Source organism: Homo sapiens, chromosome 16 (assembly GCF_000001405.40).
Source record: "Homo sapiens chromosome 16, GRCh38.p14 Primary Assembly".
Lineage (NCBI taxonomy): Eukaryota > Metazoa > Chordata > Mammalia > Primates > Hominidae > Homo > Homo sapiens.
The window spans coordinates 27,562,453-27,577,155 of NC_000016.10; the positions used below are offsets into that span (position 1 = coordinate 27,562,453).

General features: G+C 45.8%; 1 protein-coding gene across 17 annotated transcripts in view; it reads left to right on the forward strand.

The window, feature by feature from the left end:
• Positions 1-14,703, forward strand: part of KATNIP (katanin interacting protein) — a 230,201-nt gene that overhangs the window by 12,309 nt on the left and 203,189 nt on the right. For 16 of the 17 annotated variants that reach the window (XM_005255201.4, XM_005255202.4, XM_011545775.3 and 13 more), the window contains exon 2: positions 11,449-11,504. The exons of the other annotated variant lie outside the window; for it this stretch is intronic. In XM_005255201.4, coding sequence (XP_005255258.1) covers positions 11,449-11,504 — 56 coding nt within the window. The remainder of the gene's footprint in view (positions 1-11,448; positions 11,505-14,703) is intronic. 17 annotated transcript variants of the gene reach the window in all.

Below are 14,703 nucleotides of genomic sequence, written 5' to 3' on the forward strand. Positions count from 1 at the left end.
GAACACATCTCTTTCCTTAGGATTCTGGGAGATCTCATGAGCTACTTCCAACGTTTCTCAAGGCAGATTGGCAGATCATTTTTGGGAGGTGCAGATACTCAGAAGACACTTTAATTAGGTTACACATACATACCCATGCACGTTTTCACAAGTGCAAAGTCTTCACTCATACACTATGGGGAACTGGAATGGCTGGATGAGACTTGGTTGGAGTGCCAGAGTGGGAATGGGTTTAGGAGCTTGTCTGATGGATACAGAGATAGACTGAAATATATTTCAGCCTGGGAAGCGTGTTGTCACATAAGCCGCTGATTAGATTACAGAAGTGTAGCATTTACTTATCTTTACTATTTCAAATGGAAAAAAAATCAATATTTTCCAATTATCTTCAATGGGGTATTAAACTGACTTTGTCATATTTCGTTTCACCATCCCAGAAAGAGCAGGGGGAAGGGATCAGGAAAGCACATTGCAAGAGCAGATGACATCTCTACTGCAGAACACGGTCATGCCTTCTGTCCCTTTCAGCATTGTCTATTCAGAAATTCGGTCATTTACTCGTTCATCCATTTCAGAAATTTCTACTGATGCACACTCCATTCTAGGCACTATTCCAGGTGTGGAGAATTCACTGATAAGCCAGATAGCAGCCTCTGGTTTCATGGGGCTTATTTTTAGTTGGGGAGACAGACTACAAACATATTAATAAGAAAATGTCAGTAAGTGCCATGCAGAAGGTTAAGACGGAGGACTGAGGGCTGGGTCCCTCTGGAGAGGTGGGTGGTTTTAAGCTGAAATCTCATTGCTAAGAAGGATCCCTCATAAGACCAAGGGCATGAGTGCTCTTGGCCCAGAGGAGAGAGCTAAGGCCCTGAGGCAGGAAGGAGTCTTGGGTCTACGGAGCAGAAGAGGGATGTGGGACTAGGTGCAGTGGTGCACGCCTGTGGTCCCATCTGTGCAGGAGTCCACTTGGGTGTATCGCTTGAGCCTGGGAGGTCGAGGCTGCAGTGAGCTGTGATCACACCACTGCAGTCCAGCCTGGGCAATAGAGCAAGGTTCCTTCTCTAAATACAAAGAAGAAAGACTGCAGGGAAGAGGGCTGCAGGGAAGAGGGAGGAGAGGTCCAAAATATCCCGTGGGCCAGGCCATGCAGAGCCTGGTCAGAATGAGGCTTGGATTCTTTTCTGCATGCACAGGGAAACATTAGAAGTTCAGGCAGGCAAGTGGTAGGGTCTGGTTTTTATATGGCTGCCATAGGAAAATCCAGGCAAGAGTGGAGGCAGGGATACCTACTAGGTGGCTGTTGAAAAAGTTGGTCACATGCAGTGGCTCATGCCTCTAATCCCAGCACGTTGGGAAGCTGAGATGGGTAGAATTGCTTGAACCCAGGAGTTCGAGACCAGCTAGGCAACATAGTGAGACCTCATCTCTAGTAAATTAAAAAAAAAAAAAAAAAAAAAAAAAAGCTGGCCATGATGGCACATACCTGTGTCCTAGCTACTTAGGAGGCTGAGGCAGGAGGATCACTTGAGCCCAGTAGGTCGAGACTGCAGTGAGCCATGATCATGCCCACTGCACTCCAGCCTGGGCAACAGAGCAAGACCCTGTCTGGAAAAAAGAAAAAAGAAAAAGCCCAGGGGGAGTTGACGGGGCCTGGCTTGGAGAGCGGGATGATAGGAATGAGCAGGTTCCAGATCTATTTGGAAGCCCAAGTTCAGTTGAACTGGCTGAGATCCATGAATAGTCAGCAGTTTATGGGAACTAATAACTGCTAAGTACCTACTGTATGCAGGGCACTGTTCTGAGAGTTTTACATGTAGTGCCTTAACCCTGACAATAGACTTAAATGGAGTCAGGACTAATAGGACTCCCAAATGGGTAATGAGTAGCTAAGAGAGACGGGCTGACCCAGAGCCTCCCCTCTCAGCCGCCACACAGCATTGTCCCCAGGCTCTTACCTAATTATGAAGCTCCCAGAAGAACACATGGCTAAGCATTTCTAAACCAAGCAAATGCGCGTTAACGGTGTGCAGGTTATAAATAAGCATTTCTGTATGCCAGCTGCTGTTTGGGTTTGGAAAGGAAAAGAAGATCTTAGCATGACTTGTTTATCCCAGGTAATTTGGCAGTAAACTGGGCCCCAGAAGTCAAGTTACACAGAAAATGCAAAGGAAAAGTGACAGGGGTATCATATCAGGCTTTCCAAAAAGGAAGGTAACTTAAAGGCCCACATCAGCCTGGAGGCACACGTGGGGAATGAAGGGAAGGGGTGTTGCAGAGCCGGTGTCTGCCTGGCTTGCTTGCTTGCTTGCTTGCTTGCTTGCTTTTTTTTGACGGAGTTTCACTCTTCTTGCCCAAGTTGGAGTAATGGCGCAATCTCAGCTCACTGCAACCTCCGTCTACTGGGTTCAAGCGATTCTCCTGCCTCAGCCTCCATAGTAGCTGGGATTAAAGGCATGCGCCACCACACCCGGCTAATTTTTTGTATTTTTGGTAGAGACAGGGTTTCACCATGTTAGCCAAGCTGGTCTCAACTTCTGACCTCAGGTGTTCCGCCTGCCTCGGCCTCCCAAAGTGCTGGGATTATAGGTGTGAGCCACCACGCCCGGCCCTACCTGGCTTTCAAACAGTCCTGCTCTTTGTCTAATAGATTTCTGTTGTTTTAGTGGGATGTCCTTAAAGAAGTCCCCTCAAAACGGGTCCATGGCATCAAGATAAAGAAATAATAGGAGTCCAGGCGCGGTGGCTCACACCTGTAATCCCAGCATTTTGGGAGGCCGAGGCGGGTGGATCACCTGATGTCAGGAGTTTGAGACCAGCTTGGCCAACATAGTGAAACCCCGTCTCTGTTAAAAATGCAAAAATTAGCTGGGTATGATGTCGTACCCCTGTAATCCCAGCTACTTGGGAGGCTGAGGTGGGAGAATCACTTGAACCTCGGAGGCAGAGGTTGCAGTGAGGCGAGATTGCGCCACTGCACTCCAGCCTGGGCGACAGAGTGAGACTCTGTCTCAAAAAAAAAAAAAAAGGAAAGAAAAGAAATAATGGGAAAGTCAGGCATGCTGCTTCACGCCTGTAATACCAACACTTTGGAAGGCAAAGGTGGGAGATTGCTTTGAATCCAGGAGTTTGAGCCCAGCGTGGGCAACATAGTGAGACCCCTGTCTCTACAAAAGTAAGTTTTAGCCAAGTGTGGTGGCACATACCTATAGTGCCAGCTATTCTGGAGGCTGAGGTGGGAGAATGGCTTGAGCCCAGGAGTTTGAGACTGCAGTGAGCTATGATCACACCACTGCACTCTAGCCGGGACAGCAGAGTGAGATGTCTCATAAAAAAAACAACAAAAAAACAAAAAAAAAAAACAAAGGAAGAGTGGGAAAGTGGGAGATCTGTCTGCCTAGTTATGTACTGAGTTGGAAACTAGAGGCCTGATTTTTTTAGCCTGTACAGAGCCTTAAAATTTTTTAAATTATTAATCATTTAAAAATTAGAAGACTGGATTTATCACTTCTCTGGAAAATCTAATCCATCAAAACCAGGCCCACCTTTCTGTATGGAAACCAGCAGCTGTTTTTTTTTTTTTTTTTTAAGAGATGGAGTCTTGCTTTGTTGCCCAAGAGCTGCTCCCACCTTAACCTCCCAAAGTGATAGGATTACAGGCATGAGCCACTGTGCCCCTCCTGGGCAGCTGTTCTTAGGACACCTTGTCCCCATCCTGCCACCTTCCTCTGTTTACCTCACTCCAACACATGCGTATCTTTGCAAACACTATAGGTAGAAGCCAGAATCAAGGTTCAGGAAGCCGGCCAGGCGTGGTAGCTCACTCCTGTAATCCCAGCACTTTGGGAGGCCAAGGCAGGCAGATCACCTGAGGTCAGGAGTTCGAGACCAGCCTGGCCAACATGGCAAAACCCAGTCTCTACTAATTCAAAAATACACCGGGCGTGGTGGTGGGCTCCTGTAATCCCAGCTACTTGGGAGACTGAGGCAGGAGAATCACTTGAACCCAGGAGGTGGAGGTTGCAGTGAGCCAAGATTGTGCCACTGCACTCCAGCCCCAGGCGACAGAGTGAGACTCTGTCTAAAAAAAAAGGAAGTTGAAATGGGGGTATGGGGGTGGGGGTAGTAATGACAGGGAGTGCTCTCCTTCCTGGACTGGAAGAACGGTGTGCAGGCAGCAGGGTGGGGCAAGCACGCTGAGCATACTGGGTCAGCCGTTGGACTAATGGGTTGCTAACCCTTCCTTGCTTCCTTGTTGTGTGACCATGGGCAGTTTGCTTTGCTTCTGTGACCCATGCGGCTTTGTCATTGCAAATGGTAGGAAATCCCAAGAGCTATCACCCGGGGAAGAAGCTGACAATGGCAGGTGCTCAGAAAGCACTGGAGAAACTGACTCCCTTTGAAATCAGATCGTCAGACAACCCATCTGCACCTTCCTTTATCTTTTTTTTTCTTTTTCTTTTTCCTTTCTCATCTTCTCTAGCCATTTCATAAAAACTTTGCCCTCAAATAAATGAGCAGGTCACCAATAGCCTATTGGCTTCACTAAGGAACTGTTGGTTCAATTTCCAGAAACCGTATTTTGTCATCGTTTCATTCTTATCTCTCACACATTACTGATTGATCTCTTAAAAGAAGTCAGTTTGTCCTCCAAAAATATTGTGTTCTCTTTCCAGCAAGATTTGGGGTCCTGAGGTTCACGGAGGCTCCTCCATCTCCCTCTGACAGACCACCTGCCCCATCTTAGGTCTTGGATGGGAGAGTCTTTAGCATTTCTCATTATGTTATGTTTTTTACACATTTAAATCAGCCTTTGGACATTGCATATTTTAAGTTTGTTTTAGCTTTTTGAATAGGAAATAGATCCAAATAGATCATTCAAAAATAAAAATAAGACCAGGCACAGTGGCTCACGCCTATAATCTCAGCACTTTGGGAGGCTGAGGCAAGAGGATTGCTTGAGCCCACGAGTTTGAGACCAGCCTGGACAACATAGCAAGACTCCACCTCTACAAAAAGGTAAATAAGCTGGATGTGGTAGCACACCCTTGTGTTTTTTTTCTGTTTGTTTGTGTTTTTGTTGTTGTTTGAGAAGGAGTCTCCCTCTGTCACCCAGGCTGGAGTGCAGTGGCACGATCTTGACTCACTGCAACCTCTGGCTCCTGGGTTAAAGTGATTCTCCCACCTCAGCCTCCCGAGTAGCTGGCATTACAGGCACCTGCCACCACGCCTGGGTAATTTTTGTATTTTTAGTAGAGACGGGGTTTCACCATGTTGGTTGGCCAGGCTAGTCTCGAACTCTTGACCTCAGGTAATCCACCCGCCTCGGCCTCCCAAAGTGCTGGGATTACAGGCGTGAGCCACTGCACCCAGTGGTGGCACACCCTTGTAATCCCAGCTACTCAGGAGGCTAAGGTGGGAGGATCGTTTGTGCCCAGCAGTTCCAGGCTGTAGTGAGCTATGTTCACACCAGTGCATTCCAGGATGGGCAACAGAGCAAGACTCAGTCTCTAAAAGATAATAGTAATAGGAAAATAAAAATAAAAACAATATTAAAAAACATACCTTAAGAGTCCTTCACATGCCTCTCTGGGTAGTTCTTTATGCAAATAGAACCAATATGAGTATATATTTTGATTTTCCCTTTTTCTTAGAGAAAAGGTTACATGCAACATATACTTTCTGGTCTTGATTTTTTTTTCCACCTAAAATATGACCATCTTTTAAGGATATATAAGGAGTAGAATATGAGAAGCTTGCTCATTCTTTCAGCTTTACAGTGTTCAATTACATTGTGCGGATTCATCATATTTGTTCAGTGACTTATTATTTCTGATATTTGCTATTACAAATCATGATACAGCAAATACCTTGAGCATATGTTTGTTTCCTATTTGTGGACAGATGTCTTCACGGCTGATTCCTAGTAGTGATATTGCTAGCTCAAAGGAAAAATGCATTTGTGCTTTTGAGGGATTACAGGTGTGAGCAACCGGGCCTTGCCCCGGGAATAAGAAATAAGTTTTTTTTTTTGAGACCAAGTCTCGCTCTGTCGCCAGGCTGGAGTAGTGGTGCAATCTCGGCTCTGTGCAACCTCCGCTTCCTGGGTTCAAGTGATTCTCCTGCCTCAGCCTCCCGAGTAGCTAAGACTACAGGCACATGCCATCACGCCCAGCTAATTTTTGTATTTTTAGTAGAAACAGAGTTTCACCCTGTTGGCCAGGATGGTCTCAATCTCTTGACCTCGTGATCTGCCCGCCCGGGCCTCCCAAAGTGCTGGGATTACAGGTGTGAGCCACCGCACCCGGCCGGAAATAAGTTCTTAATCCAAAACTCTTGTGATGGGGAGGCCCTTACACTGGATTTCTTTACCTGCAGATTTCTACTGAGTTCCTTTTATTCTCCAAAACCTGACCTTTCATGCCAAGACTGAGCATTTTACCAGACTCGATGGGAGTGAGGGTCTAATGTCAGTGCTGGGCTCTTACCTCCACCCCCACCACTCCCCTCCCACCTGAAGAGGATAAATAGAGGGAGTGATTACAATATGAATAGTTTAATTAGGAATATCATGAAATTATATTCTGCATATATATTTTTATCATGTACTATATACATTTCCATATGCATCAAATATGCATGCATATTAGTCTACAGCAGTGGATTTAAAAAGCTATGTCCTGTAGACTGTACTTTACGGGTTGTTTAAGACTCTTTATCAAGGGTAATTTTGGCACTGATTTTCCCTTTGCCTGATGACTTCAGAAACTAACATCCAAGAAGATGCGACTCCCCTCTAAATGGTAGCGATGAAGATTATCTTCATCTAGAGCAAAGTGTCAGAATGTGCTAACCATTGAAAACGAATCCTATGTGCAGATAAAACCTTGCTGAAATCATAAGTGGGAGAATAGTATTGTAGTTACAAAATTCAATGCAGTCACTTCTTTTTTTTTCTTTTCCCCAGACAGACATCTGTTCTATAAAGTGAAGTATATTGGCCTTATTTATTGCTTCATAGCTGAAGCAGGCAGGTCACCCTGCAAAATTCAGAGGAACACCCCCTTAATTTTGCAAGTGGCATATATTGATATTAATGTCACCTTTTTCCACTTCCTTCTTTGAGTTGTTGTGAGAATAAATGAGATATAGGTAGGAAAATGCTCAGAGAAGCTAAGTGCGGTAGACAGGCACAGTGTAATCTGGTTACAGCACTTCCATCCTTGACAGGCAGGAGCTGTCTTCGCATCGAGCTAATCTGGAGGAGAGAGAAAGGCTCAGTGGTGTGAGGACTGGGCCAACCAGTCTTCTAGGGAGTTTAGATAATAAATGCTCTTAATTGAGTGAATTATCTTCGTTGGAAAATAAGCAAATTATTTTCCGATTTAATGAATTAAAAAGCTTCTAATTAACTCCAGTAGAAAGATTTGCTTTTATGTTTTATTTTATTTTATTCTTTTTGTTTTGTTTGTTTTTATAGAGACAAGGTCTTGCTATGTTACCTAGGCTGGTCTTGAACTCCTGGCCTCCAGTGATCCTCTTGCCTTGGCCTCCCAAAGTGCTGAGATTACAGACGTGAGCCACTACATCTGTCCTACTTTCACATTTTAGTAGTTAAGCTCTATGTTCTTTGCATTAATGTAACTGAACGACTGAACGCAGGTCTCATGCTTGCTGCTTGCAGAGTTCGGTTAATAAGAGTGAGGTCTGGTAATAAGAAAGTGAATTTATTAACCAAAACTAATAAAGGGAAGTGGTCAGATTCCTATCCAAAGTAACCACTTCCATTTTGTGGAGGAAGAAAACTCCAGTTTTCCCTTACAGGAGTGAGCCAGGCGCAGTGGCTCACTCCTGTAATCCCAGCACTTTGGGAGGCCTAGACAGGCGGTTCACCTGAGGTCAGGAGTTCGAGACCAGCCTAGCCAACATGGTGAAACCCCATATTTACTAAAAAAAATACAAAAATTAGCCAGGCATGGTGGTGGGCATCTGTAATCCCAGCTACTTGGGAGGCTGAGGCAGGAGAATTGCTTGAACCTGGGAGGCAGAGGTTGCAGTAAGCGGAGATCGCACCACTGCACTCCAGCCTGGACAACAGAGTGAGGCTCCATCTCAAAATAAATAAATACATACATAAATAAAAAGGGAAAACTTGATAAAGAAGGCATGCAAGAATTGGGCTGAGTACTATCTGTGTGTCTTGTTCGGGTGGCCATCTTGGGTCCCAGTCTACCTGGACATTGGGCTGGCGTCATCTCTACAATGGCCAGGTTGTTAACTCGCCACCGTGAAGTCATCTCTGCAATTTTGCAGCTGGGTCTCCAGGCTTGCTCCAAGATTAGCCGCTGGAACTTCTAAGAAGGCACATAGGCAAATACTAGTATACAGTTAGAGAAATGTGAAGACAGTATATACGGTGAGAAAGGGAGGGACACGGAGTCTATTTTAAGGCTAAGAGAAAAGGCTTCTGCAGTTTCCTTTAAGGTTCAATCTTGAAATCCAAGAGAAAGGGGAAAAAAAAGTTTTCAAATGCATTTTGAAGTTAAGCTGCCCAGTTACGTTAATATTTTGGTTTTTGTTTGTTTGTTTGTTTGTTTTGAGACAGAGTCTCACTCCTTTACCCAGGCTGGAGTCCAGTGGTGCGATCTCGGCTCACTGCAACTTCTGCCTCCGAGGTTCAGGTGAATCTTGTGCCTCTGCCTCTTGAGTAGCTGGAATTACAAGCATGTGCCACCATGCCCGGCTAATTTTTGTATTTTTAGTAGACATGGGGTTTCACCATGTTGACCAGGCTGGTCTTGAAGTCCTGACCTCAGGTGATCCACCCGCTTCGACCTCCCTAAGTGTTAGAATTACAGGCATGAGCCACCACGACTGGCCACATTAATGTTTTGTTTTTATTGTCCACCTTAATTTTTTAAACTGTTCTTTATTAGTATAACATAATTTTAGAGATGAAAAGCAACCATAAAGATGATTCAGCCTAACTCTTAAAGAAAAAAAAAAAAAACTATGGCCCATAGAGACCTAATGACTTATCCAAGGTCCCATAGCTGTCACTTGTCCCTCAGGACCAGATCCCCAGGAGGCTGTGTGGCCAGCAAAGCAAGGGCCTCAGTCAGGCGCTGGGATCTGCCGTGCTCACCCTGGAGGAGCTCTGCTCCCTCCTGCTGCCTGCTCTTGCCCTGGGCCCTGTGGGGCCCTGCAGGGCCCTGCTGGCATCTCACTGGCCTCTGCACTACTCCTGCTGCCAGGACACCCCAGTCTGTCAGTGGCCCAGACCCCAACCCGCTTTGTGCCTAGCAGCTCAGGGACAGTCCCTTCGCTCTGCATGATGAGGCCTGACTACCTGGCATGTCATTTTCCCTGGCCAGCCTTAGGGCTCACTCGGAATCCTTAGACTGACAGCCAGAGCCGTGTGGTCAAGGGTTTCTGGGAGCTGCTCATTCTAGCTCCTATCCCAGAGCAGCAAGCCTCAGGAGGTCCTGATAAAATTGGCCTAACAATCAAATCTCTTGATCCCTAAATCCTGGGGGTGTGTGTGTGTGTGTGTATGTGTGTGTGTGTTTAACTAATAAACTGGTTTTTAGAGCGTTCAGCAAAATTGAGCAGAAATTACAGAGAGCTCCCATATACCCCTGTCCCCACATACATCTCCCCAACTATCAACACCCCACACTGGGCTGGGTGTGGTGGTTTATGCCTGTAATCCCAGCACTTTGGGAGGCCAAGTGGGGTGGATCACATGAGCCCAGGAAATTGAGACCAGCCTGGGCAACATGGCAAAACGCCCATCTCTATAAAAAAAATTTTTTTTTTTTAAAGAACACCCTGTATTACAGTGGTACATTATGCTGGTCTCTTTTTCATCCTTAAATCCTAGGTTCTTTGTCTTAAGGCAAAAAAGAAAACACACACACACACACACACACACACACACACACACAATGAAGACAAAGGCAGGCATGTAGCCAGTTTCAGATTAGTTCATTCTATCCGGGAATCCTGGCCTCTGTTAGTCTACCCCAAGGCTTGTGGCTGGTAGTAACTCAGCATGACAGCTCACACACGGAGATAGCCCTGCCCTGTGTCTCCCTCTTCTCTGTCTCTCAGAACCAATTCCAAATTCCTGGGACTGGGATTCTGATTGGCTGCAGTTGGGTCAGAGGTCCATCCATAGCACAGCATACTGAGGTTCAGGGCGTGGGATTATGTATAATCATGGCTGCCCAGAGGCCCCACTGGGTGGACAGAGGGGAGAGGAAGAGAGAGGAGGGCAGTTTAGGGTATCATTATGAGCTGACCAGATAAACCAAAAGATGTCTTCTCCCATACCATGATACTGTATGATCCATGCCCTCCTGTAAATTCTCCAGTGGCCTCATTTCGAAATCCTTTTACACATTGGCCTTAGAGTCTGGCCGTGGCCAGCGGTTCTTCCTAGGCCTTGGCTCTTCCCTTTATTCACACTTTCTTGGCAAAAGCATCATCCCTTGAGCTTTATCACCAGCTGTGACCCCTCCCCTACCCCTCACTCACGTGCAGACTTGCTAGAAGTGACCATGTCCAAAGACGTGTCTTTTCTCTGAGACTCAGTCCCCGTTGCTTTCCTCTTGCTAAGCTGTCACTAAGCATTTTTTGCTTCTGTCTTCTGAGTGCTCTTACCTAAGGGGACACTGGTTGTGGCATTTTCACAAATAGCCACTGGGGAGTAAAGTTGGGCAGTTTAGGAGATACATTGACAATAATGCAGTGACTCTTGTTTTATATTTTCAAACCAAAGCAATCCATTAATTTTGCATCAAGGCATTCCTTTATAATGGACACTTCCATAAAAGTTGTGAAAACTGCATTCGAAACAGCATATTTAAACATTATGATGTCACTCTGTTGAATTTATGCACACCTTCAAATGTTAGTCTTCTAGCTCCCCCAGAAAAGCAGTAATTCTCTCTGAAATTGCCTATTATATGAAATGCAGGTGATTACCACTAATTCACATCTGCACTGTCACCTATGTGGTGGATTTGGGGGTTTGGTGCAGCACGTTGGTATGCTCTCATCAAAGGGTATGTGTGTGTGCACAGAGGAAGGCATTCTTGTGGAAGGCATTTTATGTAATTCCAAACAATTTAATAAAAATGTAATTCAAAGGGGAAAACTACAGTCCCTCAGCCCTTTCAGAGTACAGATAATGTTCCAGATTAAAGGCTGGAGCTTTGTTCATTATAGTCAAATAATGTAAGTGTGTGAATTACCATTTTCCTTGCCGTTGGTCTATTTCAAAAGTGTGCCATTTTCCCATTATAATAATAGGCTGCATTTTCTTAAAATCATTTGATTATGATTGGTCCCATCTATTCAGTTTGCAAATAAAAATCTTTTGTGTTGATAAACTAGCTGTTCTAAAACAGCCTTAATCTTGGTTCTGCTTTTGAACTGCGACAGGTCAGACTCTGCGAAAGGCCGAGAGAAGCTGGTCCTGCTCACGAGAGAAAAAGGAGGTAAATGTGTCCCTGGCGAGGGCTGATGGGAGGCAACTCTATTTGAAAGGACCTGAGGGAGCAGGGTGGCGAATAAGTGTCCCTAAATATACTCTTTTCTCTTGGGGTCCCAAGCTTGAATCCTGGAGCAAATGATAGTGAGCAACTAGACTTACCAACCCAGTGTCACTTGTAATAATCACTTGTAATAATCACTTGTAATAATCATCTCTGAGTGTATCAGTTAACTTTGTCTGTGTAACAAATCATCCCAGATTTTAGTGGCTTAAAACAACAACCATATATTTAGTTCTGGATTTGGTGGGTTAGCAGTTTGGGCTTATCTGGGCAGTTCTGCTGTTGGACCAGGCTCCGCATGGTGCTCACTCATGTTTCTGCAGTTCATGGCTGTGTCGACTGGGGGGTAGTTGAGTGTCAGGGTGCCTCAGTTCTCCTCCACACCTCACCTCTTAATGGTATACATACTTCTCATCTGCCAGCAAGCTAGGCAGATTTTTTCACATGGTGCTTCAAGGGCTCAAGAGTGCAGGAGTGGCAACTGCAGGACTTCTTGAGTCCTAGGCTTACAAGTCACACAGTGTCACTTCTACCACTTTCTATTCTTTTTTTTTTTTTTTTTTTTTTTTTGAGTCGAGTCACTCTCTGTTGCCCAGGCTGGAGTGCAATGGCGTGATCTCAGCTCACTGCAACCTCCGCCTCCCGGGTTCAAGCAATTCTCCTGCCTTAGCTTCCCAAGTAGCTGGAATTACAGGCGCCTGCCACCAAGCCCGGCTAATTTTGTATTTTTAGTAGAGATGGGGTTTCACCATGCTGGCCAGGCTGGTCTCGAACTCCCGAGCCCGCCTCAGTCTCCCAAAGTGCTGGGATTACAGGCGTGAGCCACCACACCCGGCCCCACTTTCTGTTCTTGAAAGCAGGTCACAAGGTCCCAGATTCAAGGGGTGGGGAAATAGATCTCACCTCTTGATGGGAAGAGCTACAAAATATTGTGGCCATTCTTGAAATCCGCTACCTTCCCCCCTCCCCGCCTCTGAGCCCACCTACTCTGTGCCAGGCACCAGGGGGACCAGGACTAGAGGTTAAGTGAAACACAGTCCTTGATCTCAGAGTATGCACTGTCTAGTTGGAAGAGAGCTACAGTACAATAGTTACAATACAGTGTGAGAAGTGCTATCACAGAAGGACAGAGAAAGTGAGATTTTAATACAGAAACCAGTCACCTGACTCTTCCAGCAATATCAAGAAAGCCTTTGCAGAAAAGGTGATGTGCAGGCTACTTCTTGAAGGATGACTAGGAGTTTTCCAGGCCAAGGAATCAGTACAGTCAAAGTCAGAGAGACATGAATAAGGAAGGTTGCAAGATCATGGTGCCTAAAGCAAGTGGGAAGTGGTAGCAAGGAGCCATAGGTTACTCCAGGGCCCTTTGATCATGTCCCAGGCTTATGAGAATATAAAATTGAGTCTTATTTAGTGGAGGTGGGACAGGAGTGCAGGGGAGATAAATTGTGTGGCTCATCAGAAACACTGACCAATCGAGAAATTCATCCAGACATATCTACCAACACTTTTGATTGTAAAGTGTCATCATTCCTATAATGAAAGGGCATTTGTCAGGCTCAGCTGGGTCCAGGGCCTCAAAAATGGCAAGAAGACCTGGTCTTTCTCCTTCCATCTCTGGGCTGTCCCGGCCAGCTCTGAGGAGTAAGCTGGGGCTGAACTGCACTCAGCGTCGTGTGAGTTACATGACCTTCACCTTCTCCTGTTGTTTCCTTCATCAGCTGTAACCAGAACAGCCAGTTTGCATTTTCTTTTTCTTTCAATCAGCCCATCTAGGATGAGGGCTGGACGAAGCCTTAGGAACTTCGCTGCTGCTGAAAAGATCTAAGTGTCGCCCAAGTGGGCAGTCTAGGGGCAAAGCCAGGGTGGATTTTCCCACTCCTTCTGGTAAGGAATCTTTCTCTGGAGGCAGAAGCAAGTGCCTGTCTTCCCACAGCATCCTTCCAGAGACCCTGAGGTAGAGGAGCAGGGATGGAAGTGAGCCCAGACCTGCAGGCCGCCCTCAGTTAACTGACCTGGGGTGAAGACCAGCCTGCAAGCCAGGAAAGAAACCTGAAACCCACCCCTGGCCTTTGGTCACAGAATAGCAGCATCCTATTTCTCCACATTAAGAAATTAACTGGGAAACCATGGAGCGGGGCGGGGGAAACTAGTTGAGATACTCTTCCCTTCTCTCTCTGTCTCTCTCTAGCTACGGGACTCCCCTAATTGCTGCTTTCCCAGCCACTCCCATTGTGCCCATCGCCCGAGAGCATTTCAGATCATTTCTCTCCTGGGAAGTGCTTGTAGTGAGAAACAGAGAGTGAAGCTGTTTATCACAATACCCAGGCTTAACCTGGAAAGATATTTCACTTGGTTTCAGGCCTTTTGAAAAAAGGAGAGTGCTAACTCTCTTAACAGAGCTTTTGTTCGGTTAGAAAAACAAAACAAAAAACCAACCCCAAACAATTATTTTAAAAATAAATAATTAAATAAATAAAGGCTTGGCGAAGTGGCTCCTGCCTATAATCCCAGCACTTTAGAAGGCCAAGGTGGGTGGATTACTTGAGCCCAGGAGTTCAAGACCAGCCTGGGCAACGTGGTAAAATCCCACCTCTACTAAAAAACAATTATTAAAAACAAAAAAACAAACAAAACAAAACAAAAAAAAACAGCAAGCTGCCAGGACTCTCGTCTGACAGATTATAACATGCCTTTTCCACCCACCTCTTCTTTCTGCATCCTATGCCCTCTCTCCTGACTTCCCAACCCTCTGTGCCTTACCCAGGATGCCAGGTATAGATCAAACTATGTCACCATGAAAGGCAAGGAGAAGACCAGCTGTCTCTTTCTCAGAGCTGGTTAGAACAAATGTTGTATTTCTCAAGGTGGTAAGGTGGTGTGGCCAGCGCACTCCCTGGAGGGTGAACACGTGGTGGTGAGGTGGTGTGGCCAGTGCACTCCCTGGAGAGTGAACACGTAGTTTCCAGCCTGGGTTGGGATCGGGTACTTCTTTGAGGGATCTTAAGCCACCATGACAAAGGGAGGGTGTGGCTGTTGTCAATGAACTCACCAGGCCAAATTCAGCCCAAAGATATGTTGTATCTAGCTCGTACCCTGTTATAATTTTTAAAAAGTAGGTGTCCACATTTAAAAGTTGTGG